The following is a 26,938-nucleotide window of genomic DNA, read 5'->3' as shown; positions in this document are numbered from 1 at the left end:
TTGGTTCTGTGTACCCACCCAAATTTTATGTTGAATAAAATTCCCAGTGTTGGAAAGGGGACCTGCTGGGAGGTGATTGGATCATGGATGTGGATGTCCCCCTTGCTGTTCTCATAATAGTGAGTGGGTTCTCAGGAGATCTAATGTCTTAAAATTATGTGGCACTTTCCCCTTCACTCTCTCTCTTGCCTCCATGTGAAGACATGCTTGCTTCCCCTTTGCCCTTCTGCCACGCTTGTAAGTTTCCTGAGGCCTCCCAGCCATGCTTCCTGTACAGACAGCAAAATTTTTTTCAATTAAACTTATTTCCTTCATATGTTACTCAGTCTCAGGTAGTTCTTTATAGCAGTGTGAGAATCGACTAATACAGAAAATTGGTACCAGAGAAGTGGAGCATTGCTATAAAGATACCTGAAAATGTGAAAGCAACTTTGGAACTGAGTAACAGGCTGAAGTTGGAACAGTTTGGAGGGCTCAGAAGAGACAGGAAGAAGAGGGAAAGTTTGGAACTTCCTAAAGACTTGTTGAATGGTTGTGACCAAAATGCTGATAGAGATATGAAAAATGAAGTCCAGGCTGAGGTGGTCTCAGATGGATCTGAGGAACTTATTGGGAACTAGAGTAAAGGTCACTCTTGCTATGCTTTAGCAAAGAGACTGGTGGCATTGGGACCATGCTCTAGAGATCTGTGGAACTTTGAACTTGAGAGAGATGATTTAGGGTATCTGGCAGAAGAAGTTTCTAAGCAGTAAAGCTTTCAGGAATTCGCCTGGCTGCTTCTAAAAGCCTACACTAATTTTCTTTTTTTTTCATTAACATAGATTTACACTTTATTTTAAATTTGCATCCTGAGATAATAAAATTTAATCTGACAAATGAACAATGGCAGAAGCAGCAGTGAAAGTTTCAGAGAGGCAGGTATCCTTCATTTTGGCATAGCTGTATATAGATTGAGTTTTTCCAGGGAAGTCATTCCTGGACTCAAGGGAGAAAAAATGAATTCATTCCACAGGCTATGTAACAATGCAAGATGCATGAAAGTTCTTAGTTTGGATGAACATATCCACTATTATTCTTTTCTGGTAAAGCTGTCCCAACAGGAATCCTCTGACAAAAAGTCAAAATCCTAGGCTTCTTCACCAGATATTTTTATCAATGCCCACTTTCTGGTTACCTGGATATCCTGTTCTTGCAGCCAGATTCATATTTGTATGTGGTTAGTCCAAGGAGGGCAAATTCGCTCTTAGATTATATACTTTCGAACACTTGTTACTTGTTTCAAAGTCCAGGCATTAAAACAATTTTACACTATTTGCATACTAGAAAAAATGGAAAATAAAAAAAGTCGAGATAAAAACAAACAAAGAAATAAAAGAGCATTTGAGAAATTATTGCCTTGATTCATCATGTTGAATTTATATACAGAACTACTTTAAGTGTCAGAAATTGATATTTAGTTCAATGCTAGAATATGACATTATAGCATTTTCCACATTTGTAATCCTATATGTGTGTGTATGTATGAGCAACATGTATACACCTAAATAAATTAGGCCAGTTATATTCTAAAACAGAAAAAAAAACTGAAGGCAAATTCTAACCTGAAGTTATATAGCCTAATATAGCCAAAACACACAAACACACACATTTCATTATTTAGAGACTAGGTAAGCAACCTGTGGAGAGGGTCAAATAATCTTAGTTCCTTTATAAAAGTGGTTCCCAACATTTGACCACAAGAATCCCTTCATTATTCTTTTCCCATGTTTCCAAGTATTTAATAGGTTGCACATAATAGGCTTTCTTATTTTATTATTAATCAAAAACATACTGCCATTCACAGCTTTTGATCAGTTGTTGATAAGCAAGCAGTGATAACACAGAATTGAGAGCACATAGGCAAAATGCATAGAAATTCAATGTCTTAATTGGCTTGTGAAGCAGGAATATTATGGGTAAATGTATAATTTCTAATATACTTTTTGAAATATTACAAAAAGCTCAAGGATACCCTCCACTGCTATCATCTGCTGAAGCTGGGAACCACTGATTTATATCCACCTGCTTTTCCTCCCTAAATATGTATTAACTTAATACAATTACCCACGTTTAACACATAGGGAATTAATAACAAAATTTACTATTAAAATAATAGATCAACTGCAACAGTCATTCTGTAGGACCTGACTGAGAAAGAAAACATAGCATGGATTTAAAGAAATCTATTTAGAAATTATATAATTATGATATCCAGTATATCTTTCAGTCAACTTCAAAGCACACTAATATATCAAAATATCCTCAATTCCCCTGTGAGGTAGGCCCAGATTATTGTCCCCACTTCAATGATGAGGACGTGAGGTACAGAGGAATTAAGCAGCAGAGCCAATAATTAAACCAGAAGTGACTTGCATTTGAGTCCCATACCACTTTCCTTTCCACCTAATTTTATCAATTTGTTCCAACAGATCTTTTTGAGGGTATGGAATTTGATTAGACACTAAAGTAAATGTTGGATAGGATATGAAATCTTCACATAAATGCCAAAGTGGGTCCTCCAATATTTCCATTGTTGTTCCAGCTATAATTCTTGCCTGAATACCAACTGCATAGACAGATTCTACACAGACAAAGCACACATTATTATTATGGCCTGTAAACACTAATATCTGAGCAATCAAACTGTTTTATCTACCATTTTTGATGAAGTTTGAATAAAGTTTAAAAATGTGTAAGTCTTTGAACAAATGTATGAAAGCTTTAAAAGATCATTAGCATTTTTATTTTGTTTACAAATAAGCTGCCATTTTAAAAAAATAAAACCTCACTACTTGAACATAAAGCTCCCAAACAATATTGTATTAAAATGTACTATATTGACCTAGGAGGATATAGAAATTATATTCACCTGATTAACTGGAGCAGTTTCACACAGTGGAAATACTTTTTGCTGATTTGATTATAAGTGCTCACATTTATTGAAATTAGATTCTCTTATGCCTATAAAAGTATACTTTAAAAATATTTTGCAACAACTGTCAAATTATTTGGGTTCCTTTAAATAGCAAATGGTTGGGAAATTTTCCACACAAATGAATAGATTTTATTAATACCTGTTCATGTAGTATGTGGACTAAAACAATTGATATATATCCATATATATAAATGAATGATCTTATCTTGCCACAAATTTGTCTTACCTGATTCTGAGCCAGCCTTTTTGTTTTGATGGCACCCTGTGAGTACGTTCCATTTTCTGTGAACTTTGTCAAATTCATGCTATATGAGGAAATGATCTAATGTTGTGGGCCCCAGGCAGGTCATCTTAATTGCATGTCTGTCTCTTCTGTAAAATTATGGGGTGGAACCTAGAGCTGGACAAAATATTAGAGATCACTTACCATTCTGTGATTCAAGGAATTCTTAGGAAATTTTTACTCTATAGAATCTCAGAATGATTATTCTCAGATCTACTGTCCTTGGTGGAAACTCTCACAGTGCCTTGCATGCAGTAAAAGTTTGATTTGCTAACTGGCTGCTGGCTGATGTGTGTTAATTAGCACACAGACTCCAAGAACCTGATGCTTGCTAGACCTTAGTTCCTTGGTGATGCTAAGAGTAAATGTAGTTTTCCTAGGAACTGAGCACTGAGGTCTGTGAGCCTACACTAATTTTCATAAACAAATAAATAGCCTGAAACTAGAACTTATGTTTAAAAGGGAATAAGAGCATAAAAGTTTAGAAAATTTGCAGCCCAACCATGCAGTAGAAAAGAAAAAAAAATTCTGGCTAGGAATTCAAGGCTGCAGAGGTTTGCATAAATAAAGAAGAGCAGAATGTTAATAGCCAAGACAATGGGGAAAATGCCTCCAGGGTATTTTAGAGAACTTCGTGGTAGTCCCTCTCATCACAGGTGTGGAGACCTAGGAAGGAAAAATGATTTTGTGGGCCAGGGCCAGGACCCCATTGCTCTATGCAGCCCCAGGACATGGCACCGTGCATCCCAGGGGCTCCAACTTCAGGAATGACTAAAGTGGGCCAAGGTGCAGCTTTGGCCATTGCTTCAGAGGGTGCAAGCCCCAAGCCTTGGTGGCTTCCACATGGTATTGGGCCTGTGGGTATACGGAAGGCAAGACTTGAGGTTTGGGAGCCACCTAGATTTCAAAGGATGTATGAAAATGCCTGGGTACCCAGGAAGAAGTCTGCTGCAGGGACAAATCCCTCATGGAGAACATCTACTAGGGCAGTGCAGAGGGATGCAAAGTTGAAGTCCCCACACAGAATCTCCAACTGGGGCACTGCCTAGTGGAGCTGTGAGAAGAGGGCCACCATCCTCCAGACCCCAGAATGGTAGACCCACTAACAGCTTGTCCTATGGGCCTGGAAAAGCTGTAGGCACTCAATGCCAGCCCATGAAAGCAGCTGTGGAGGCTCTATCCTGCAGAGCCACAGGGGTGGAGCTGCCCAAGGCTTTGAGAGCCCACCTCTTGCATCAGTGTGCCCTGGATGTGAGACATGGAGTGAAAAGAGATTATTTTGGAGCATTAAGACTTAACAACTGTCCTGATGAGTTTTGGACTTGCATGGGGCCTATATCCCCTTTATTTTGGCCAATTTCTCCCTTTTGGAATGTGAACATTTCCCCAATGCCTGTACCCCCATAGTATCTTGGATGTAACTATCTTGTTTTTAATCTCACATGCTCATAGGTGGAAGGGACTTGGCTTGCCTCAGATGAGACTTTGGACTTGGATTTTTAAGTTAATGCTAGAATGAGTTAAGACTTTGCGAGATTGTTGGGAATGTATGATTATGTTTTGAAATGTGAGAAGGACACAGTCTTTGGGAGGGGCCACGGGTGGAATTATAAGTTATGTTCTCTGTCCCCACCCAAATCTCATGTTAAATTGTAATGCCCAATGTTGGGGGAGGGAGCTGGTGGGAGGTGACTGGATCATGGGGGCGGATTTTGCTCTTGCTGTTCTCATGATAGTGAGTGAGTTTTTAGATCTGATGGTATGTGGCACTTCCCCCTCTGCTCTCTCGCTTTTGCTGCCATATGAAGACGTGCTTGCCTCCCCTGTGTTCTTTTGTCGTGATTGTATGTTTCCTGAGGCCTCCCAGCCATGTTTTCTGTACAGCCTGCAGAACTGTGAGTCAATTAAACCTCTCTCCTTCATAAGTTACTCAGTCTCAGATTGTTTTTTATAGCAGTATGAGAATGGACTAATACAGATATGAAGAATTAATATCATTAAAATGGCCATGTTGCCCAAAGCAATGTACAGATTCAATGCTATTCCTATCAAACTACAAACAACATTCTTCACAGAACTAGAAAAAATTATTTTAACATCTATATGGAACCAAAAATAGCCTGATTAGCCAAGAAAATCCTAATAGCTGGAGGCATGATGTTACCCAACTTCAAACTATACTACAGTGCTACAGTAACCAAAACAGCATGGTACTAGTACAAAAACAGGCACTAAGACCAATGGAACAGAATAGGGAGCCCAGAAATAAGGCCACTCACCTATGACCTATGACCATCTGCTGTTCAACAAAGCTGACAAAAATAAACAATGGGGAAAAGCCTCCCTAACAATAAATGGTGCTGGGATAACTGTCTAGCCATATGCAAAAGATTGAAGCTGGATGCTTTTCTTACACCATATGCAAAAGTCAACTCAAGATGTACTAAAGACTTAAATGTAAAACCAAAACACTATAAAAATCCTGGAAGACAATCTAGAAAATACCATCCTGGACATAGGAATGGGCAAAGATTTCATGACAAAGACACCAAATTGACAGTGGTATCTAATCAAACTGAAGAGCTTCTGCACAGAAAAAGAAACTATCAACAGAGTCAACAGATAACCTACAGCATGGGAGAAAATATTTGCAAAGAATGCATTTGACAAAGGTCTAATATCCAGCATCTGTAAGGAACTTACACACATTTACAAGAGAAAAACAATTCCATTAAAAAGTGGACAAAGGATATAAATAGCAATTTTTCAAAGAAGACATACATGAGGCCAACAAGAATATGAAAGAGCTCAATATCACTGATCATTAGATAAATGTGAATCAAAACCGCAATGAGATACTATTTCCCACCAGTGAGAATGGCTATTATTAAAAAGTAAAAAAAATTACAGATGCTGGTGAGGTTGCAGAAAAAAGGGAACTCTTGTACATTGCTGGCGGGAGTGTAAATTACTTCAATCATTGTGGAAAATAGTATGGTGATTCTTCAAAAAGCTAAAAGCAGAATTACCATTCGACTCAGCAATTTCATTACTGAGTATATACCCAGAGGAATATAAGTCATTCTACCATACAGACACATACACACGGATGTTCATTGCATCACTATTCACAATAACAAAGACATGGAATCAACCCAGATGCACATTGATGACAGATTGGATTAAAAAAACAACAACTGTGGTACATATACACCATGTAGTCATATAAAAGAATGAGATCATGTCTTTTGTGGGAACATAGGTGGAACCGGAGGCTATTATCCTTAGCAAAATAATGCAGGAACAGAAAACCAAATACTGCATGTTCTCACTTTTTAAGTGGAAGCTAAATGATCAGAATTTATAAACACAAAGAAGAAAATAACAGACACTGGGGTCTACTTCAGGATGGAGGGTGGGAGGAGAAAGAAGAGCAGAAAAGATAACTATTGGGTACTGGGCTTAATACCTGGGTAAAGAAATAATCTGTACAACAACCCTCCATGAACAAACCTTCACGTGTACCCCTGAACTTAAAATAAAAGTGAAAACAAAGTTGCTGCTTACCTAGATTTTCACTGTTTAGGGAGTGTATGGGTGGGAGATGCAGTCAGACTCAGGGAAAAGATGACAAGATGTTCAATGGTGAAGCAAGCACCTATTCACAGTGAAGACTCAGTAGAAGGAGCACCAGAAGAATTCTCCTTCCTAGGAGAAGTGTTCACTAAAATTGATTGGGGGTAGGGACCATCCAGCCTAGGCAAGAACCCGGAAAGAGGTACATCGGTAGAAGGTACAGCTAACATAAGGGTTTTCTTGGGTGGTAGTGAATTAGTGGAGGTTGCAGCCAGTCTAGGAGAGTATTTAGCAGGAAGAACATGAATAGAGGTGTCATCTTCCCAAGGGGGTAATTCCTGTAAAATTGCACCAGTTCCAACTAGCCTAGCAGGATGTATGTAAGTAGAGGGTGTAGTTAGCCTAGGAGGGGACATGGCAAGAGTTGCATGGGTCAGAGGAATACCCAGCCTAAGAAAACACCAGGCAGGATGTTCATAATAGAGGATCCAGCCAACTGAGGGTGAGAAATGTCAGAAGGTGCATGGTGGAGATTCCAGTATATCTAGAAAAAGTCACAGATTTATGTTCATGAGGAAATGTTGCACTCCATCTAGATGTGGACTTGGTAGGAGATGCATGGTCTAAGAAAGAATCCATAAAGGGGAAAACCTAGTAGGTGGTACATGTGTGGTATGTTCAGCCAACTAAAGGGAGGATATTTCAGACAATGCATCAGTGGAATGAAAATATGTACTAAGAGAGGATTTGAGAAGAGCTGCATTAGTGAAGGAAGCATCCAGGCTAGGAGAGGACTTGCAAAGTCCCTGGGTAGAATGTGTAGTGAGCCTAGTGGAGCAACCAGGAGAAAGTGCATTGGTGGACAGATAGTCTAGCCTGAGGTAAAAATGAACAGGTAGTGCATGGCTTGAGAATGTATCCAGCCTCAGGGAGGATATTTCAGGAGGTATACAAATTCAGGGTGCATCCAGACTAGCAGAGGACCTGGCAGAAAGTTCATAGGTTGAGGAAGAATTTAGCCTAGGAGAGGACTTGACAGGAGGTGCATGAGTGTAATTTGAAGCCAGCCTCCAGGAAGACTTACCAGGAAGTACATGGGTGAAAGTAGCATTCAGGCAAGAGGAGGACTTGACCAGAGGTCCATGATTGTAGGGTGCAGCAACTCTAGAGGAGGATACAACAGGGTATTGCATCAGTGTCAGGATAAGCCAGATCAGAAGAGGATCTGGGAAGAAGTACATGAGTGAAGAGAGCATCCAGCCTAGTGGAGGATATGGCAGTAAGTGCCTGGGTGGAAGTTGCAGCTATCTGAGGTTAAAACCCACAGGATATATATGGGGGAGGATACAGAAAGCCTCTTGTAGGATCTGACAGAAGATTTTAGAGTGGAGGATGCATTCAGCCTGAAAGAACACATGGGATCAGGTGCAGAGATATAAGGATCAGACTCCCTAGGGGACAATTTGCATAAAGTGCATGAACCAAGGGAGCACCCATCCCAGGATAAGATTCAGAAAGAAGTGCATGAAAAAAAATTCAGCCTAGGGAAGGTCCCATGAGTTTTTGTATGGGTGCAGAAAGTAACCAGTCTGGGGAAGGACCCAGAATGAAGTACAGGGGTGGAGAAAGCATCAGACTTGGAATAGGAGTGGAATAAATTGCATGAGAGAATTAAGTCAGATTATGGGGGATTCTGGTGGATTTGTAAAATTGGAGTATACAGCCAGCTCAAGAGAGGATCTTTCAGCATTTACATGTGATTAGGAAGCAGTGAGAGGTATATTATCCTGGGTTCTGCAGAGAAGCAGAACATACATATATATATATATTTATGAGGGATCTTCACAAAGTTCATGGAAAGTATGAAATATGGAAAAATGCAAACATTTTTTGCAACAAAATAAATTCACACTACTTTGTTGTAACATGTCTGAACAAGATCTGGCTTGAGGTACTAAGAAGGATAAGGCATCAGTGTGAAAAGGGCCCCTACCAGAGAGCAACATGAATTCTGCTAAAATTAAAGGAAGAACAAACATCAAATTTATGTTGAAGCATGAGTGGAAGCATGGTGAAATCACTGATGCTTCACAAAATGTAAACAATGTCCCCAAATATCAGCAGTTTACAGATGGATAGCCAGTTTTAAGAAGAAGAAGAGACAAGATGATGTTGAAGACGAAGCTCATAGCAGCAGATGATCTGCATCAATTTTCAAGGAAAAAATTAATCTTGTTCATGCCCTAATTGAAGAGTACTGACGATTAACCGCATTAACAGTAGTCAAACACCATAGACATCTCAGTTAGTTCAGTTTACACAATTATGACTGAAAAATAAAGTTGAGCAAACTTTCCACTCAATGGGTACTAAAGCCATTGTGCTCAGATCAGCTGCCGACAGGAGCAAATGTTTCAGTGGAAATTTTAAACAAATGGGATCAAGATCCTGAAGCATTTCTTCCAAGAATGTTTACAAGAGATTAAACTTGGCTTTACCAGTATGATCCTGAAGACAAAGCCAATTAAAGCAATGGCTACGAAGAAGTGAAAATGGTCCAGTCAAAGCAAAAGTGGACCAGTTAAGAGCAAAGGTCATTACAACAGTTTTCTGGGATGCTGAAAGCATTTTCTATGTTGACTTTCTGGAGAGCCAAAGAATAATAACATTTGCTTATTATGGGAGTGCTCTGAGAATGTTAGCCAAAGCTTTAGCAGAAAAATGCCTGAGAAAGCTTCACCAGAGAGTCCTTCTCCATCATGACTGTATTAGTCAGGGTTCTCTAGATGGACAGAACTAATAGAATATATATATATATGAGAGGGAATTTATTAAGGAGAATTGACTCACACGATCACAAGGTAAAGTCCCACTATAGGCCATCTGCAAGTTGAGGAGCAAGAAAGCCAGTGGTGGATCAGTCCGAGTCCCAAAACCTCAAAAGTAGGGAAGCCAACAGTGCAGCCTTCAGTTTGTGGCCAAAGGCCCAAGAGACCCTGACAAACCACTGGTGTGAGTCCAAGAGTCCAAAAGCTGAAGAACTAGGAGTCTGATGTTCGAGGGCAGGAAGCATCCAGCGTCGGAGAAAGATGAAGGCTGAAAGACTCAGCAAGTCTGCTCTTCCATCTTCTCCTGCCTGCTTTGTTCTGGCCATGCTGGCAGTTGATTAGATGTTGCCCATCCAGATTGAGTGTGGGTCTGCCTCTCCCAGTTCACTGATTCAAATTTTAATCTCCTTTGCAACACCCTCACAGACACACCCAGGAACAATACCTTGCACCCTTCCTCCAATCAAGTCGACGCTCAATATTAACCATCACAACGACAATGCTCTTGCTCGTTCTTCTTATCCAAATAAGAGCAATTTTTGTGAGTTTTGATGGGAAATTATAAAGTATCCACCTTACAGTCCTAATTTGGCTCTTTCTGGCTTCTTTTGGTTTTCTTATCTTAAAAAAAAACTTTAAAGATTTTACTTTAGTTAACCATAAAAAAGACTGCATTGACATGATTAAATTTCCTGGAACCTCTGTTCTTTAGGGATGAACTATATGAGTGGTATCATTGTTTAAAAAGGTGTCTTGAACTTGATGGACCTTAAGACAAGTAATATAGTACATTTTTAGAATTTTTATCTTCTAATTTCATTTTTTTCCACAAACTTATTTCTCTCTCTCTCTCTCTCTGTGTATGTGTGTTTGTGTGTGTGTGTGTGTGTGTGTGTGTGTGTGTGGTGGTGGTGGTGGTGGTGATGCTGTGTGTGTATGGAGAGAGATTTATTATGAGAAATTGGCTTATGTCATTATGGAAGCTGTGGAGTCCTATGGTCTGCCATCAGCAAACTAGAAACCCAGGAAAGCCAATGGTATATTTTAATCCAAGTTCAAAGGCCTGAGAAGTAGAAGAGCAAATGGTGTAAATCCCAGCCTGAGCACAGGAAAAGATGAGGTGAAATGTTCCAGCTTGAGCAGTGAGGCAGGAAGAAAAGGGACAAATTGCTCCTTCTTCAATCTATCAATTCTATTTGGGTCTTCAATGGATTGGATGATGGCCAACCACACTGAGAAGGGCAATCTGCTTTACTGAGCCCATTGACTCAGATATTCATCTCAAAACCTTGCAGACACACCCAGAAGTAAGTTTTAATATGGGAATTCCTTAGCCCAGTCAAAGTGACATTAAAGTTAACTATCACATGAAGTCTCAGTAAAAGGTACTTGAGTAGATAGTAGAGTCTATCTAAAGAAGCCTCTGATAATGGCTGCATGGGTGTGGGGTGCAGCCAGCCTAGGGCAAAACTCAGAGGAAGTGCAAAGGTGGAAGGTACTACCTACCCAGGGGAAGATATGGCAGGAGGTGCACAGTTGCAGGGTGTAACCAGCCTAGGGGAGGACATGGGAGGATCTTCAGGAATGCAGTTAAAGTCAGCCAAAAGGACCAAAAAGGTAGTGCAAGAATTAAGAATGCAGCCTTCTTAGGAGGAGAAATAGTAGGAGGTGTATGGATGCAGATTGCAGTTAGCTTAGCAGAGGACCTGGAAGGAAGTGCATTGGGAATGGGAGCATTAGCCAGTGGAGCATTCAACAGGAGCATCGTGGTTGGGGAAATGACCAAATCAGGGGAAGTCACAGTAGAAAATCCACTGGTAGAGAGAGCATCCAGAGGTAAGATTTGGTAGGGGTGTTAAGGGGTGGAATGTGCAGATTGTCTATGAGAGGATATGGTAGGAAGGGTATGGTTTCAGGGAGCTTCCATCCCAAGGTGAGAAATATTCAGGGCATGCATAATTGTTTGGGGCATCTAACCTAAGAGAGAATAGCAGGAGGTGCATGTTTGGAGGATATAGTCAGCCTAGGGAAGGAAACAGTAGAATTTATATTATGTAAGTTGGAAACAGCCTGACGAGAATCAGCAAGAAGTGTATGGTTGGAGGGAGCATACAACCTAAGGCAGGACCTGGCAGAACAGGCATGAGAGGATGAAGAATTCAACCTAGAGGACACTTGGCAGGTCTTTCATGGGTGAAAGGTATATTCAGCCTATGGGATGATCTGGCAAGAAATGCAGGAGTGAAATCACTAGGGCTAGATGAGGACGTGCAGGAAATGTATTGGAGGAGGGGCCATTCATTATAGAGCAAATCTTGCAGGTAGTATATAGTTAAAGGTTAAGTCAGTCTAGAGTAGGATATACTAAGAGGTGCGCTGGTACAGGGTGCAGCCAACCTAGGAAAGTAATAAGTAGAAAGTGTATGAGTGGATGAAATAGCCAGCCTAGATAAAGTCTCAGCAGGAGTTGCAATGGTGCATGGTACAGCCAGCCTAGCAGTAAAGCTGACCAGAGGTGTAGAGGTGGAAGAAATAACATCTTGCCCAGGGAAATAAATGACAGGTGGGCATGGATACAGAATGTAGTCAGTCTAGGATAGGAACCATGGAAGATACATTTGTGGTGGTTTCAGCCAGCCTAAAGAAGGGTATGGCAGGAGATGTAATCCAGTAAAATACATGGCATGGAGGGCAGTGGTGCAGTTTGTTGAAAGCCAAATGTACTCGGATATGTGCATTGATCAAGAATGAAACCAGTCTAAGAGCAGACACAGCATAAGACTAATGTGTGCTGGGTGTAGTCAGCCTAGGAGAGAACAGAGAGATATTTGCACGATTCAAAGGAGCATTTAGCCCAAAGGAGGTATTGGCAAGGGGTTTATACATTGATTGTGCAGCCAGCATAAGGAATGACATCCTATAAGGGGCATGATTGAGGACACTTCCAAACTAGTAGGAGTAATCCGCATGAGTGCAGTGGCAGAGAGACCATACAGCCTAGCTCACCACCGAGGAAGTAGTGCATGGGTAGGGCAAACACCAAGCTAACTTGAGGGCAAAAGAGGGAATGCATGTATACAGGTTGTAGCCAGCTTAGAGGAGGAACTGGCAAGATGTTTATGGGGAAAGGGAGAATCCAGCTTTGTGGGAAACTTGGAAGGCGGAGCAAGGGTGAAGGTGCAGCTCACCCAGGAGCTCAAGGATGCATAGGTTCCAGGTGCAACCAGCATAAGAAAAGATATAGTAAAAAGGTGTATGTGTGCCTGATGCCACCAGCTCAGATAACAATCAGGCAGAACATGCATGGGTGAAGGGTTCAACCAGATTGTGGAATCACATGGCAGGAGATGTATGAGTGCAAGTTGCAGCCAGAATCAAGGACAATTGTTACTTGGTGCATAGATGGAAGTAATATCCAACCCAGGGGAGATCTTAGCAGAATGTTCAAGGGAGAAAGAAGCCTCCAGCCTAGGAGAAGCCCTGGCATGGTTTTAAGGTTCAGCTATATCAGGGAATGTCCAGGCAAGAAGTGCATGCATATAGAAAGCATCAGACCTAGAGAAGGACCACTGGAAAGTGGATGGATGGAAGTCACATTCAGCATAGAGAAAGTCATGGAAAGATGTGCAGAGATGCAGGGTGCGGTCACCCATGTAATGGCCCCTGCAAGAAGTGCTTGGGCTATGGAAGCAAGAAGCCTAAATGAGGTACTATAAGGAAAGCATGGATGCAGGGTACAGGTAGACCTGAGAAAGGGCAGGCAGAATGTGCATGGGTGGAGAGAGCATCAATTCTAAAGAAGAGCTTGGAAATGGGTGGATGGATGGAGAAAGCGGCTAAGTTAGAGATAACCCGGTAGGAAGTTCTTGAATTGAGGGATCTTTCAGTGTAGGTAAGGCAAAACAGGAGAAGCCTGGGTGGAGGGTGCAGGCTACCAATGGGAGGATTTTCCATGATATTGACAAGTGGAGGGAGCATTTAGATAGGGCAAGTATTTGCCTGAGGGACATGGGTAAAGAAACAGCCACTCTAAGATATACTCCTATCTATACAGCAGTCGGTGCATAAAGTACACCAATATAAGGAAGGGCCCAGCAGAAAGTGAAGGAGTGGTATGAGGAGCCAGTCTAGGGAGAACCTGGAAGGAATTGATTAAAAGTCCAACCAAACAGGGGGAGGACTGGGTAGGGGGTACATCAGTGCAGGGAACATTAAACCTAGAACAAGACATTAAAGGAAGTTAATTGGTGGAATGTGCTGCCAGCATAGGGAAACAGCCAGTAGGAGGTATATGGGAAAAGAGTGAAGCCATCCTAGGGGTGTATTATGATTGGAATGTGCTACCTGCCTAAGGGAGGACGTGTTAGGTTATGCATGGAAGCAGGATGCAGCCAGCTTAACAAAGAACCCAGCAGGAAGTGCATAAGTGAAGTGAGCATCCTGTCTGGGAGAGGCTATGACTGAGAGTGCATGGATGCAAAATGCATCTAGTCTAGGGGATAATCCACAGATATATGTGTGGAGCTTGCAATGCAGGTGTTATGGGGCATCCCTGCTGAACAGAGGCCTTGGTGGGAAGTGTATAAGATGAAAGTGCAGAGGGGCTAGGGAAGGATTCAGCAGGCAGCATGCATGAATGGTGGCTGCAGCCACCCTAAGTGACAGTTGACAGGAGGTTTAAGGATGGAGGGATCAACTAGTCTAGGAGAGGACTTGGGCTGAGGTGCAGGAGTATAGAATGAAGCTTTCTGTATTAGTTTCCTCGGGCTGCTGTGACAAATTACCAAAAACTCGTTAGCTTAAAACAGCAGAAATGTATTATCTCATAGTTTGGGATGCTAGAAGTCTGAAATCAAGTGTTGGCAGGGCCATGCTCCCTCCAAAATCTCTAGGGTTGAATGTTTCCTTGCCTCTTATAGCTTCTGGTGGCTATGACTACTTCTCAGATTACTTGGCTGCATCACCCCAATCTCTTTCTCCATGGTCACACTGCCTTCATGTGTCTTCTCTTCCTCTGTCTGTGTCAAATCTCCCTCTGCCTTTCTTTTATAAGGATATTTTCCATTGGATTTAGGGCTCACTCAGATAATCTAGAAGGATCTCATCTTAGGGATCTTTAAAATAATTACATCTGCAAGTATATTTTCTCCAAATAAGATTATATTCACAGACTCTGGAGATTAGAACATGGACATATCTTTCTGAGGGTCACCATTCAACTCACTACCCCTGTTTAGAGTAGTGAAGGGCAGAATGTGCATAAGTGGAGTGGAAGTTGCAGTCAGTCTAGGGAATGATATAGCAGAAGGTACATGGCTAAATGATGTAGGTATCCCAATGCAAGACCTGACAAGAAGTGTGTGGGTGGAGAGAACATCCAGCCTATGAATGAATTCAGTAAGTACATGGGTAATTGGAGCAGCCAGCAATGAAGAGCAGTCAGAACTAGTTGCACAGAAGAGCCCAGACTAGGAGAAGATACAGAAGAATATACATGGGAATTAGAAACATCCACCCTTAGGAAGAATTCACTAGAATGTGCAAGGAAGGAGGGAACATCTAGCCTAGGAGAGCATATTGCAGGAAGTGTATGAGTGAAAGGAGCATCCAGTCTAGTAGAAGGCTCAGGGGGAGGTGCATAGGTTAGGACATGGCAGGATATACATTGCTAGAGGGAGCATCCAGCACAGGTAGGACTTGTTATAGGGTGCATGAGAGAACAATCAGATTAGGCCCGGAACAAGAAGTGTATGGATGAAGGGTATGGCTAGTCTAGGAGAGGACTAGGCAGGATATTCAAGGTACATATGTGGAGGTAGTAACCAGCTTAGAGGAAGACTAGGGGAAAGTACATTATCAAAGACTCCAGCCAGCCTAGGTTTGAGCTCTATAGGAAGTACATTTGTGCAGTGCAGAGAATTTCTAGTGTAGGAAGTGACAGTATTGCTTGGGTGAAAGGTGCAGCCAGCGTAAAGCAGGAATCAGTAGGAAGTGCGTGGGTGCATAGTGCAGCCAGGCTAAGAAATAATCGTTCAGGAAGCGTATGGTTGGAGTGTCTATCTAGCATAAGAAAGGAGTAGGAAGAAGGTACAGTGAGAATGATACAGCCAGCATAAGGGAGAACATGGCAAGATGTGCATGTTGGAGCCAGATCAGGAAAATATTCCACATGAAGTGCAGAAGTGAAGGATACATCCAGTATAGTTGAGAACCTGGAGGAAATTGCATGGGTGGTGTGTGGTGGAATAAATGCATTAGTAGAAAGAGTAATCAGCCTAGATTTTGGCATGACATTGGTGGAGGAAGGATCCAGAATAATGGAGGACTCAGCATTGAGTATATGAAAGATGGTGCAGCAAACCTAGGAAGAACTCATCAAGAAATGCATGGGAGGTGGGAGCATTAAGCCTAGGGTTAGAATCAGCATGAAGTATGTGGGTGGAGGGGCCATGCAACCTAGTGGAGACTTGGGAAGATGGTATCTGAAGAGGATGAGCCAACCTAGGAGAGGACTCAGTGTTATATGAATGGTTGGAGAGAACATCATTAGAGAAGATTTCTAGCATACAGGAGGAATCGGAGAATAGTGGATGGCTCAAGGTTACATCCAGCCTTGGTTAGGACATGGCAGGATGTTTGTGGGAGGAAAGAGAATCTGGTCAAGGGGATGATTTGGTAGAAATTTGGGTGGAGAGGGTGGATTGCCAATGGTATAACTTGTTAGGAAAAATATAGGTGGAGGGTACAGAAAGCTTATGGAATAACATTGGAGTAGGTTTATGAGTTTATAATAAATACATTCTGGCTGGAATGAAAGGGTGTAGGAAACTCGCAGTATAAAGGAGGATATGGCATGTAGAGGGAACATCCAGGCTAGTGGAGGTCCCATCAGGTGCTATATGTATGTGTGCACTCCGTGCATATGTACACACTATAGTAAGGCACTCAGGAGGTGCAACTGAGGTAGGAAAAGGCAGCCTAGGGGGGAACCCCATAGGAGGTTTAGGGGGTTTAGGAGAGGGTAAAGCCTAAGCAAGGACATGGCAAGAATTCTGTGAGTGAGGGAGATCCAGGCTAAGGGAGTACTCAGTCCTAAGTGCATTTGTGGCATTTTCAGCAAGTCAAAGGGAGAGTAGTCAGGAAAATTATGACTACAGCATGCACCAGCCTCGGGGAGGACCCATCAGGAAGCTTAAGAGTGAGGCCAGCCTGAAGTTTGGTGCACCAAGAAGTGCATGGTTCGGAGGGTGTAGCCAGTCTGGGAACTAACTAGCAGTAATTGCATTGTCAGTTGGACATTGCTGGATTTGCATGAGGAAATGTGAAGCTAGCCTCACAGAGAAACCTGTAGGAAGTGCATCAACAGAGAGTGAAGCTGGAGTAGGAGGGTTTCTAGCAAAAAATGCAAGGATATTCTTTGTATCTAAACTATTGGAGGGTTAAATGTTAATTTCAAGGGTTGGTAATGGAGCCAAATTTGATAATTCAGCATGATGTGCATGGGAGGAGGGAGCATCTAGCCTAGTGAAGAGGGCATGGCAGAACATGTGTGGGTGGTGAGATTATCAACATAACGCTATCTGCAGCAGAATGTGTATATGTGGAGGGTGCAGGGAGCCTAGAGAATGACTAGTATGCAGTGCAAGGGAAAAGGTAATGTCTAGTCTAAGGGAGGACTTGAGAAGAGGTACATTGTTGACAATGCAGCCATCATATGGAAGAACCTGGCCTGAAGTTCATGAGTGGAGGATGCTGCCAGTGTAAGGGAAGACTTGGCAGGAGGTGTGTGGATGCAGGATGCAGTAAGCAGATGTGAGGACATCCAGGCGGTTGAATGGTGGAAGGAGTACCATGCATAGGGGAAGATTCAGTAAAAGGAACGTGAGTGAAGTGTGCAGACATCCTAGGAGAAAATCTGGCAGGATGTGCACGGATGTGAATGGCATACATTCTACCTCAGAATTCATCCTGGGGTGGGGGTGGTGGGTATACAGGATTGAGTAATTATGGGAGGGCGCAGCCAACTTCAGGGAAGACATGGCACAAAGTGGATTGTTGGAGAGTACAACAAGTCTAGAAAAATACTGACATGAAGTGAAAGGGTGGAAGGGGTATTCAGCCTAGGATAGGATTCAGAAGTAGGTATGTTTGTGCAGGATGCAGCCACTCTCAGAGAGGACCTGGCAAGAGATTCATAAGCAGAGAATATAGCAAGTCTAAGGGAAAACATGGCAGGAGGTGCAGAAGTAAAAGCATTATACAGCCTTGTCGGAGGAATATGCAGGAAATGCATGGGTGGAGGAAGCATCAAAGGCCCATAAATAGGTGCGTGGGTGGATGGTGCAGATAGCCTAAGAATACTTGGCAGGAGGTGCAGAGTGGGAGAGTACAGCCAGCCAAGTTAAGGACATGTCAGGGATGCAAGTCTGCAGGAACTGGAAGGATGATCAAGGAACCAACCTAGTAAGGACCAACCTAGTAAGGTCCTAAATAGTAGACTCAGAATTAGAATGCCCGGAGTGGAAGGCTAACAGCAAACCCATATATGTGTAATTCATGATAAAAGCATATCAGGTGGCACCAGCAGAGAGTGGCAGAGGCCCAATAGAATCAAATTGTCACTGACTATATGGCCTCATGCCCCGAGAAATTGTATCTACAGATGATAAAGGCCAGTGTTTGGTAAAGGTACACAGATTACAGCTAATTTGGGCAACTTTGATGTCTGGAAACCTTATAAAGGAAGTCTTTCCTTTGTTCCCAAAGTAGCCTGGGACCCTAGGTGTCCCTAGGGTTCATATGCTTATCTGGCCATGAACAAAAGCAGACAATGGAGATTATCTGGGAGAGGCAGATCCATGTATTAGTACAGTGAATTTATTTCTTGCTAAGCTGTCTGTGATAGAATTATAATGTGATTCTGATTTATTTGATTTGATATGTGCAGAGATGTGCAAAACAAGAATAAGTATGGGGGATGAAGTAATGTCTGCCATATGAGATAGCCCACAAAGACCTTCCCTGAATGGTAAAATTATCTTGCTTCAATTTTTCTGACCCAATGACGACCATGCGGGAATCAGTCAACAAACAAATCTCAGGCAATTTGCAATGCAGGGCATCCTGAAAAATCAGGTAGACAGCCTCAAACTCTGCCAATTGGGCCAACCCTCATGTCTATTCCTTGTGATAGAGGAACCAGAAGCAGTGTGGTATGCCACCACTCACTACTGATTCCCACCATGTGGGATGGTGGCCCTGCCATTGGTGAGGCATACTGACTTCCTATGCCAGACATTTGATCTCAAGGAGCTCCCTAGATCACTACTAGGAATGACATGGTGTATACCTCCACCTCCTTAATAGGCATGGCCAAGGGACTGAGCACATGGGAAGCCAATTCTTCAGAAGTTTGGAAAGTCCTGTGGCATCAGGCTTAACTGAATCTCTAAATTACTATTTCCACTTAACCAAAGAGGATTCTGTGGCCATGCCTAGCCTCTTGGCATGGAGTCTTGACTTAAGGCATGATAAGGATTTGTGTCTGGATGCCAAATAGAATTGAGCCAATTAGGGCCTCAGTTTCCAGAAGGGACAGAATTTGTTGTTTGAGAGGTGAATATCTGCCATTTGAGGAAGTTACTTATTCCAAAAACCCATGGGCAACCACTTAAAACCATGCCTGATGCAGAAGCTCCAAGAGGCATAGTCCTTTGTAGCCAAAGCCTTGATTTAAAAGTTGGATCCCAAGGGAACCAAGGTCAATGCCTACTGTAAAGTTATCTGACTATTAAGATTTGTTGTGAGAGGCCTTAATGGAGGAAGTTTGACTTGCATATGACCTCATATGTGGGTCCAAGTATACTGAATACATGTGAGATGTGTTGGTCTTGAAAGGTAAAGAGGCTCAGGAGATCTTGGGCCTGTTTAAGTGTCTGTGGTACCATGAAGAGGGTGAGTAATTCGTGTTTTACTGAACCAGGAATGGAAGAACCCTCTGATGACCACAAGATATACAATAATTTTATCATCTTTGCAGGTCCCTGTATTTTATTCATGTATATTTCCTATCTTGGAGGTGATGTGTAAGAGTATGTAAGCCCTGTGTAACATTATCTTGAGAAGGTCTCCTAGGTAAGATGTCATCTACATAGTGCCAAAAGTGGGAATGCTGTAAATTGATGAATTATAAGTCCTTCCTCCAGAGTCATGTGCTATGGCCAGGCTATTGAGGTAGTCTATAGATAATCAAGTGAATGTATATTGTGTGTCCTCAAAGGAGAAGGCATAACGTGGCTGTGAATCTTTGGCAATGGATGTTGAGTAGAAAATATTGACTAGATGTGTTACCACAAGTAAATCACTAGGTGAACCCTGATACTAATAACTTCAATAATGTTAGGAAAAGGTGCCTCCATGGACAGAACAAATGCATTGAGGTGGCAGTAATCTATACTTAGGCCATTCTTGTTTGTCTGCCTTTTGCTTTGATCAGATACTGCAATTAAAAAGAGAGATGATAGGAACCACAATTCTATCTTTTAAAAGATTAAAATAATAGGCCTGAGTCAAGCTGCACATTGTCATAGCTTGTGTTGAGTCTTCTTGACAATTTTAAGGGGAGGCAGAGGGACTATGATCTCTCCTTGAGCATGTCTTATAGCAAGTGGTGCGGATTTTGGCATGTTCCAATTTAAGAGGTGGCCCTAACGTGTTTGGTGTTCATGCTTATGACTAGATGGGCCAGAGACAGAGGGAATATCACAAGGAATTTAGCTAAGAGATCCCATTTTAGCATCAAGTGGAACCCATATGCCCTTAATGGGGTGACCCAATATGCCCTGAATTTTAAATAGGTTGCAAATATATATGTATATATATACATATATATTTGAAAAGAGATGGGATACCCAGAGTAACTGTTATCTGTATCCCTGTACCTAAAAGGACCAGAAAATGTTGGCTATTCTTTGAGCTTCAATGAAAACTTTGGTAGTATGTCGGTGATTTTCCCCAGGCAGTGAGACAAGCTTTGGGGAGCTGCTGTCTCCTTCAGGAGGGAGTTAGGTGGCTGCCATTGTTGAAGGTCAGGACATGATATTAGGAACCCATTAACTAGGAACTGGAAGTGCCTTTCTTCGTCTCAGTGGGGCATCTCCTATCCACTATTTTGGACCAAATTGAAGTAAAGAGAGGGGAACTTCCCCTGCTGCATGAGTTTCAAAGGTATCTAGCAGGTTTTTTGGTTGTTGGAGTTTATAATAAGCAGGCTGGCCCATTTTAATTTTTTTTTTCATGAGAGATGCCCATGTCTCTAATACATATGTTTGTCTGGGGATGATGTTTTAGAGTCCTATAGTGTCTCAAAAGGTGGTAACTGCATATTAGGAAAAGGTCCCAACTCAGTCTCTGCCTTGTTTTCCTATTCGCTCCTCTTTCCAGTGGTTTTTATTCTTTGGTTGTTTACTACTTGTGGCAGTGTTTTGGTGTTGTGGTCCTGCCTATAGGTGGCATCTCCTGTTCTACGGTGTCCCAGTCAGTCTCCCCAGGTTTGGAGTCTAGTTCCATGAGGGCAACTGTGGCACTGCCTGGTTTGTTCTTATGCTTGTTTCTAAAATCAAAGCTCTTGGTCTTGTGATACACTATTTCACACTATTGTCCCTTCTGGACAACCTTCACATAGTACAATAGCCAGTTACCATAGTCACTTCTGGACACATTGTAAATACATAAGAAGTCAACTGGAGACTTCTTTACCCAGACTACAGCACTCTAAGGACAGTTGCTCAGGGACGACTCAGCTTTTTGAACTCTACCATAATTTAGACTGGAGAATCAGAGCAGTACCTGACAGTCACAACACAATGGCAGCTGCTAAAATACAAGCCAGCAGTGCCATTCCAGGCAGTATTTACTCTCTGTTGGATTCAGTTAGTAAGCCAAGAGCAGTCTAGAGGCATGTCATCCTCACCAATCACCAAACTACCCTGCTCAATGCACCAATTGTTTAAAAATGTACTCGAGATATGTTTTATTATAATTAGGTATGGCAAGATGATAGACAAGAAGATAACTGCCTTTGAAAGAAGTGTTTATTACTCACAGTTCCCCAGAGGACAAGAGGCGTGGTGTGTCACATAGGGCCACAGAGGGTCACTCACAAGGAGAAGCAGAGAGAGAAAAAGGATGTTGTTGCTGGCCATACACTTTCTGTGACATCCTCCCCTACCCTCCCATGCACCTTCTGCTAAGCTTCCCTTTAGTCTGGATGCTCTCTAAATGAATGCAACTTTTGCAAATTATTCACCTAAACTGGCTATACTCTCAATCTATGCACTCTATGCCATTTCCTCTTCAAGCTGTCTGTATTACCCATTACTCCCCCATTTCCCAAGTCTTACCTAATACTGGGTGTTAACTCCACCCCTGAACTTCCTGCCAGATCCCACCCTAGGCCCACTGCAAACTTCATTTATCCACTTTCTACTATGTTCTTTTCTAGACTTGATGTACACTTCATCCATTATCTCTTGCCAAGTCCACCCCTAGACTTGATGAATCCTCCAGCCATAAGCAGTCTGGGTGGCCTCTCATAGCCTTTCTGCACTTTCCATCTATACACCTCTTGCCATGTAATGCCACAGGCTGACTTCCTCCTCTTCCATCTGTACACATCTTGCCATGCAATGCCACAGGCTGACTTCTCCCTCTAGCCATTCACTTTCTCTCAGATCATCCAGCAGGCTTGTATCATTAATCTTTGCCCCTTCAGCTAATTCCTTTCCTGTTTTGGCTGCATCCCTCCACTCATCCCTCCACTACTTCTCATGTCATTCCCCAGGCTTTCCACTTGCTTCAACCGTGCACCTGCTGTAGGTTCCTCCCTTCACTGGATGATCCTTCTACTATGTGTTCTCTTAGGATAGATTTATAATTTTTCATCCAATATTTACCTGCTGAAAGTTCTTCCTTTCCTGTGAATGCTTCCTCCATTCCTGCAGCTACTGCTGGGCTTTCCCTAAAGCCAGCTGTACTCACCACTACTGAACCTGATATTGGGTCCCCCTATAGGCTGGTTGCATCCTCCATCCATGCACCTCCTGTGTGTTTTTCTTCTAGGCTGTATACTCCCATCACCACATACCTCCTGCTTACTCTTCTCATGGGCTGGATGCCATCTTGACCCATTCACGACTTGCTGAATCCCTCCCCTATGCTAGCTGCATTATCCATCCATGTACACCCTTTTGAGTCCTCTTTTAGGTTGATTGCTACCTCTACCCAATAACCTCCTAAGAAGACTCCCTAGAATGACTCCATCCTTTCTCATAAAACGTCTTCTGGGTGCTTATCTAGGCTGAATGTTCCATATACCGATGATACTCTTGCACATTCTTCCCCACATCTTTGATACCCCCTCTCTCCATGTGCCACCAGTTATGTCTTACTTAAACTGGCTACATTCTCCATCTATAAACCTTTTGCCTCCACCTATAAACCTTTTTCCTAGACTGTATGCACTTTCCACTAATGCAACTGCTTCAGAGTCCTTTTCTAGGCTGGATGCCCCTTTCAACAATAAACCTTCTTCCAGAAATTCCTCTAGATTTGCTGTGCCCTCCAATAATGCACTCTCTGCCAAGACCTTTTCCACCATAGATTCTCCCTCCACCGACATACCATCTGATAATTTCTCTCCTAGGCATGCTGCAACCTCAACCTATAGCATCAAATGCACAACTCTCATCTAAGTTTATACACTTCGTGCTGAGGTGTTGTTTGTTTTGTTTTTTGGGTTTTTTTTTATTTTTACTAAGCTGGATGTTTTCTCCACCCATGCATCTCTTCTAATGTTCTTCTTTGGGCTGGGTGCTCACTTGACCCATGGATTTCTCATCAAGGCCTCCCATAGACTGACTCCTTCCTCCAAATGTGCATCTCCTGCTGAATTTTCCCCTAAGCTATATAATATTTCTACTCATACATTTCTTGCAGTATCTTTCCCAAGGCTGGAGAATTCCTCAAACCATGCACTTCCTGCTATGTCTCTCTTAGACTAGCTCTAACCATGCATAATTACCAATACCTCCTTTAGGCTACCTGTGCCACCTACCTATGGACTTCCCAACGAGTTTACACCTAGTCTGGATGTTTCCTCTACCCACACACCTACTGTTGAGTTCTGCCCATCTCAAGTGCATAAAACTCTAGTCAACTTTAAAATTTTACATTCCCAAATTAAATTCTCTATGAAAAATGATATAAAGAATAAAACTTTCACAGCATCTTTGGCATCTATAACACTCTTTGTGGTTTTCCATGGAATTCCTGGAATGTCACAAATATTTGTTCTTTCACTTTATGGATAGCATTGTGTTAAAATAATTAGGTTTGTTTATTGTTATTATTGATGAGCTGTTAAATTAAAACCTGTCATCTCCAGATAATTTTTTCAGTTTACTCTGATGCTTCCCAAAGGCTCTGCCACCAGATAAAAACCAGAGTTCTTGTCTTTGATGACAAAAGACAATTTCACAGCTTTGAGGAAAAAGGCAGTACCCTCAGTACTAGTACTTCGAAGAACAGTCTCTTTGATACAGACTTCAGCTAACAGAAACTTCTGATGACACATAATCACCTTTAAGACCATGACAGTGAACAGAGGCAGTTCTCAAAAACACCTCAGTTGAGAAGCAGTTTCATACAATCAGTCTTTTTAATCCTAGCTTATCCAGCCTTCACCAAATAAAACAGAAATGAAGGTAATTGAGAGTAAGTTATTTAGATGCTTTGCTGGATATCCAATAGACCCTAACATCTTAGTATTGAAGACTAGTTTCTGTTTTCTAGAAGAAAACATTAATTTTTTTCTCAAGGCCCATTTCTCAGGATAGAGTAGAGGAAAGAGCAAAACAATAGGTAAGGAAGGCTGGGCTCTTGCCCCCACTATGCTATACATACTTGTCATGTGACTGAGTGAGCTAATTAACATCTCTGAACCTTGGTGTCCACATCTGTAAAAATGGATACTAGTAATGTCTATGTAGGATTAGCAAACCTGTTGTCCAGATTAGGCATGTGGGCTGGCAGTGTGTAATCTGTGCATTCGGGAAATAGTGTATTTGATATTTTCTTTTACTTGAATCCTATTTTGGGGTTCCAAAGACCTTTTGTAAAGAATCTTGCCATCTCCCTCAGAACACATGTGCAATATCTGTCACATACAAGGACCAGGAGACCTGGGCCTTCAAAATGCTTCTGTTGCAAAGGATGTTCTCTTTGGGAGGCCAGTCTGGTAACCAGGCCTTGTGTTCATGCCAAGACCAAGCCACCATTAACCTCCAAGTCCCCTGCCCCCAGCCTCAACTCTGGTGCTCATCTTTCCTCACACATGAAGTTTCCTGCAGTCTTGACACAAGTTTGACCCCGGCCTGCCCTGACACTGCTTGTGATCACTGGACAAGTTGGAAGCCACAGTCACTCCAGCCTCTGCCCTTGCCCACTCGGGAGTTAGTTTTCCCAATCCCAATAGGGCACTGGCCACCAATGCTGTCCTGTCCACAGGGCACAGGCCAGAGGGACTACTTCCTCACCTTTCCCTCCTGACTGTTAGAAATGCACAAAAGGCCTAAATATGGGTGAGCTCATGCCTTCCCAATGGCAGCGATTCTCTCTTCCTCCCTGTCTCCCCTGAGTGTAGGATACCTTGCACATGTGGAAGGGAGATCTGGCAGGGTGCCACATTAGCCTGATGCTATGCTGGCTGTGGCCCCCATGCTTCCTGTGAAACCCACAAGCACAGCTGAACACAATTCTTAAAGGGATGGTGGTCACTCCTGCTGACTCTCCCATGCCCCTTGACTCTGCAGAGAGCTTGAAACAGGGGCTCATCCAAGGTCAACCTTCAAACTCCACCTCAGACATGAAACAGAGTCTGAAGGAGCCCAGAAGCCCGGGTCCTTACAGGGTCACAGTGACCGTTAGTGTTGATGACTGCATAAACTGTAAGGTGACCACCTGAGTACACAGAGGGACTCACCCGCCACAGGCCACCCACCTACTATGGCTTCTCCTGCCTTGAGTGAAGTCCTCAGATGTGCATTCCAGTGAAGTATCCAGGACATTATGTCTAGTTCTACAATAAGCCACAGCCATAAGCAACATCAGCAGCTTTTAAACACCAGACAACTACTTAGCCAATATGTCAAGATCTGAGGAAAATGATCAGTTTGCTGCCATTACTCATCCTAGAGGCACTCTCTTCTGACTGGAGGACACTGGACTAGCAGAAACACATAACCTGAAAACAAAGATGTTTCACTTTGGCAAGGGGAGGGGGTGCTGCTGTCACCATGATGTGATCAGCTGAAGGAGACTCCCTACCTGCAGATGCTGGAGAGACGCCTGCTTGCTTCTCAAATGCACAGAAGAGAAAGTGACGATCTGGGCTAAGGCTGGGAATGCTCTATAGTTCTCCATAAGGAATCACCCAGTGGTGGGGTGGGCATCTTCACAATGAGTTGCCTGGGAATATGAGGTTCAGTGGAAATCATGTGGCAAGAAAGGCTTCTGGGATTCAGACAAGCATATCTCCCAAATGGCCCTGAGGACAACCCCAGCACAATCTCTATGTAAATCCCCTGTCCCATGAAGTTCATGCCAGCCAGTGTGCCCTCTTTCCACCCACCCCTGTGGCCACCGCCCTCTGACTTCAGACCTTTGCTATCCTGAATAAAGCCTCCCGCACCTCAGTCAGAGTCTGCAGCTCCACCTCAGGCCCCAGCATCAGGCTGGGAATTCAACAAGCCTCAGAGGCCCCCAGCCAACTCCCTGGCCTCACAAGGCCTTCCTGTTCAGAGACAATGAGGAAGTCTCAGTGTCTACCCAAGCCAGTTCCTCCTCACAGGGCCAGTGCCCTCACCGTCACCATTGAGAACTGCCCCCTCTAAATCACTGATTCAAACACTCCCCACACAGGCCACCCCTTCCCCCACTTCAGCTCTCTAGGGATAGTTTCTCCTAAATGTCTCACAGACACCTCCAACCCAAAGTGACAGAAACTGAGAGGAATCAGGAGCACTGTCGTGCATTTATACAGTTTAATAGCTTGGGCAGATGGAAGCAACCTGGGGTCTTTCATCTATGGGAATTTTAGCAGCTGGAAGAGGTTGCTGATGAAGTCCTGCACAGCTCTGAAACTCAGGAATCCTCCCTTCTTCTTCTTCTTCTCCTTCTCCTCCTCCTTCTCCTTCTCCTCCTTCTTCTCCTCCTCCTCCT

The 26,938-nt window shown here is 42.9% G+C and overlaps 1 long non-coding RNA gene across 1 annotated transcript; it reads right to left on the bottom strand.

Annotated features, from left to right (window-relative positions):
* Positions 1-1,189: 1,189 nt before the first annotated feature.
* LOC105373155 (uncharacterized) lies at positions 1,190-26,938 on the bottom strand. Its single transcript, XR_950546.3, has 4 exons — positions 26,788-26,938; positions 26,045-26,185; positions 3,201-3,374; positions 1,190-1,319 (listed from the first exon to the last, which is right to left on the bottom strand). It is a non-coding gene; the product is annotated as an uncharacterized LOC105373155 (long non-coding RNA).

Source organism: Homo sapiens, chromosome X (genome assembly GCF_000001405.40).
Source record: "Homo sapiens chromosome X, GRCh38.p14 Primary Assembly".
Lineage (NCBI taxonomy): Eukaryota > Metazoa > Chordata > Mammalia > Primates > Hominidae > Homo > Homo sapiens.
The sequence above is the reverse complement of the archived record's forward strand: the minus strand, read 5'-3'. Positions and strand labels throughout refer to the sequence as shown.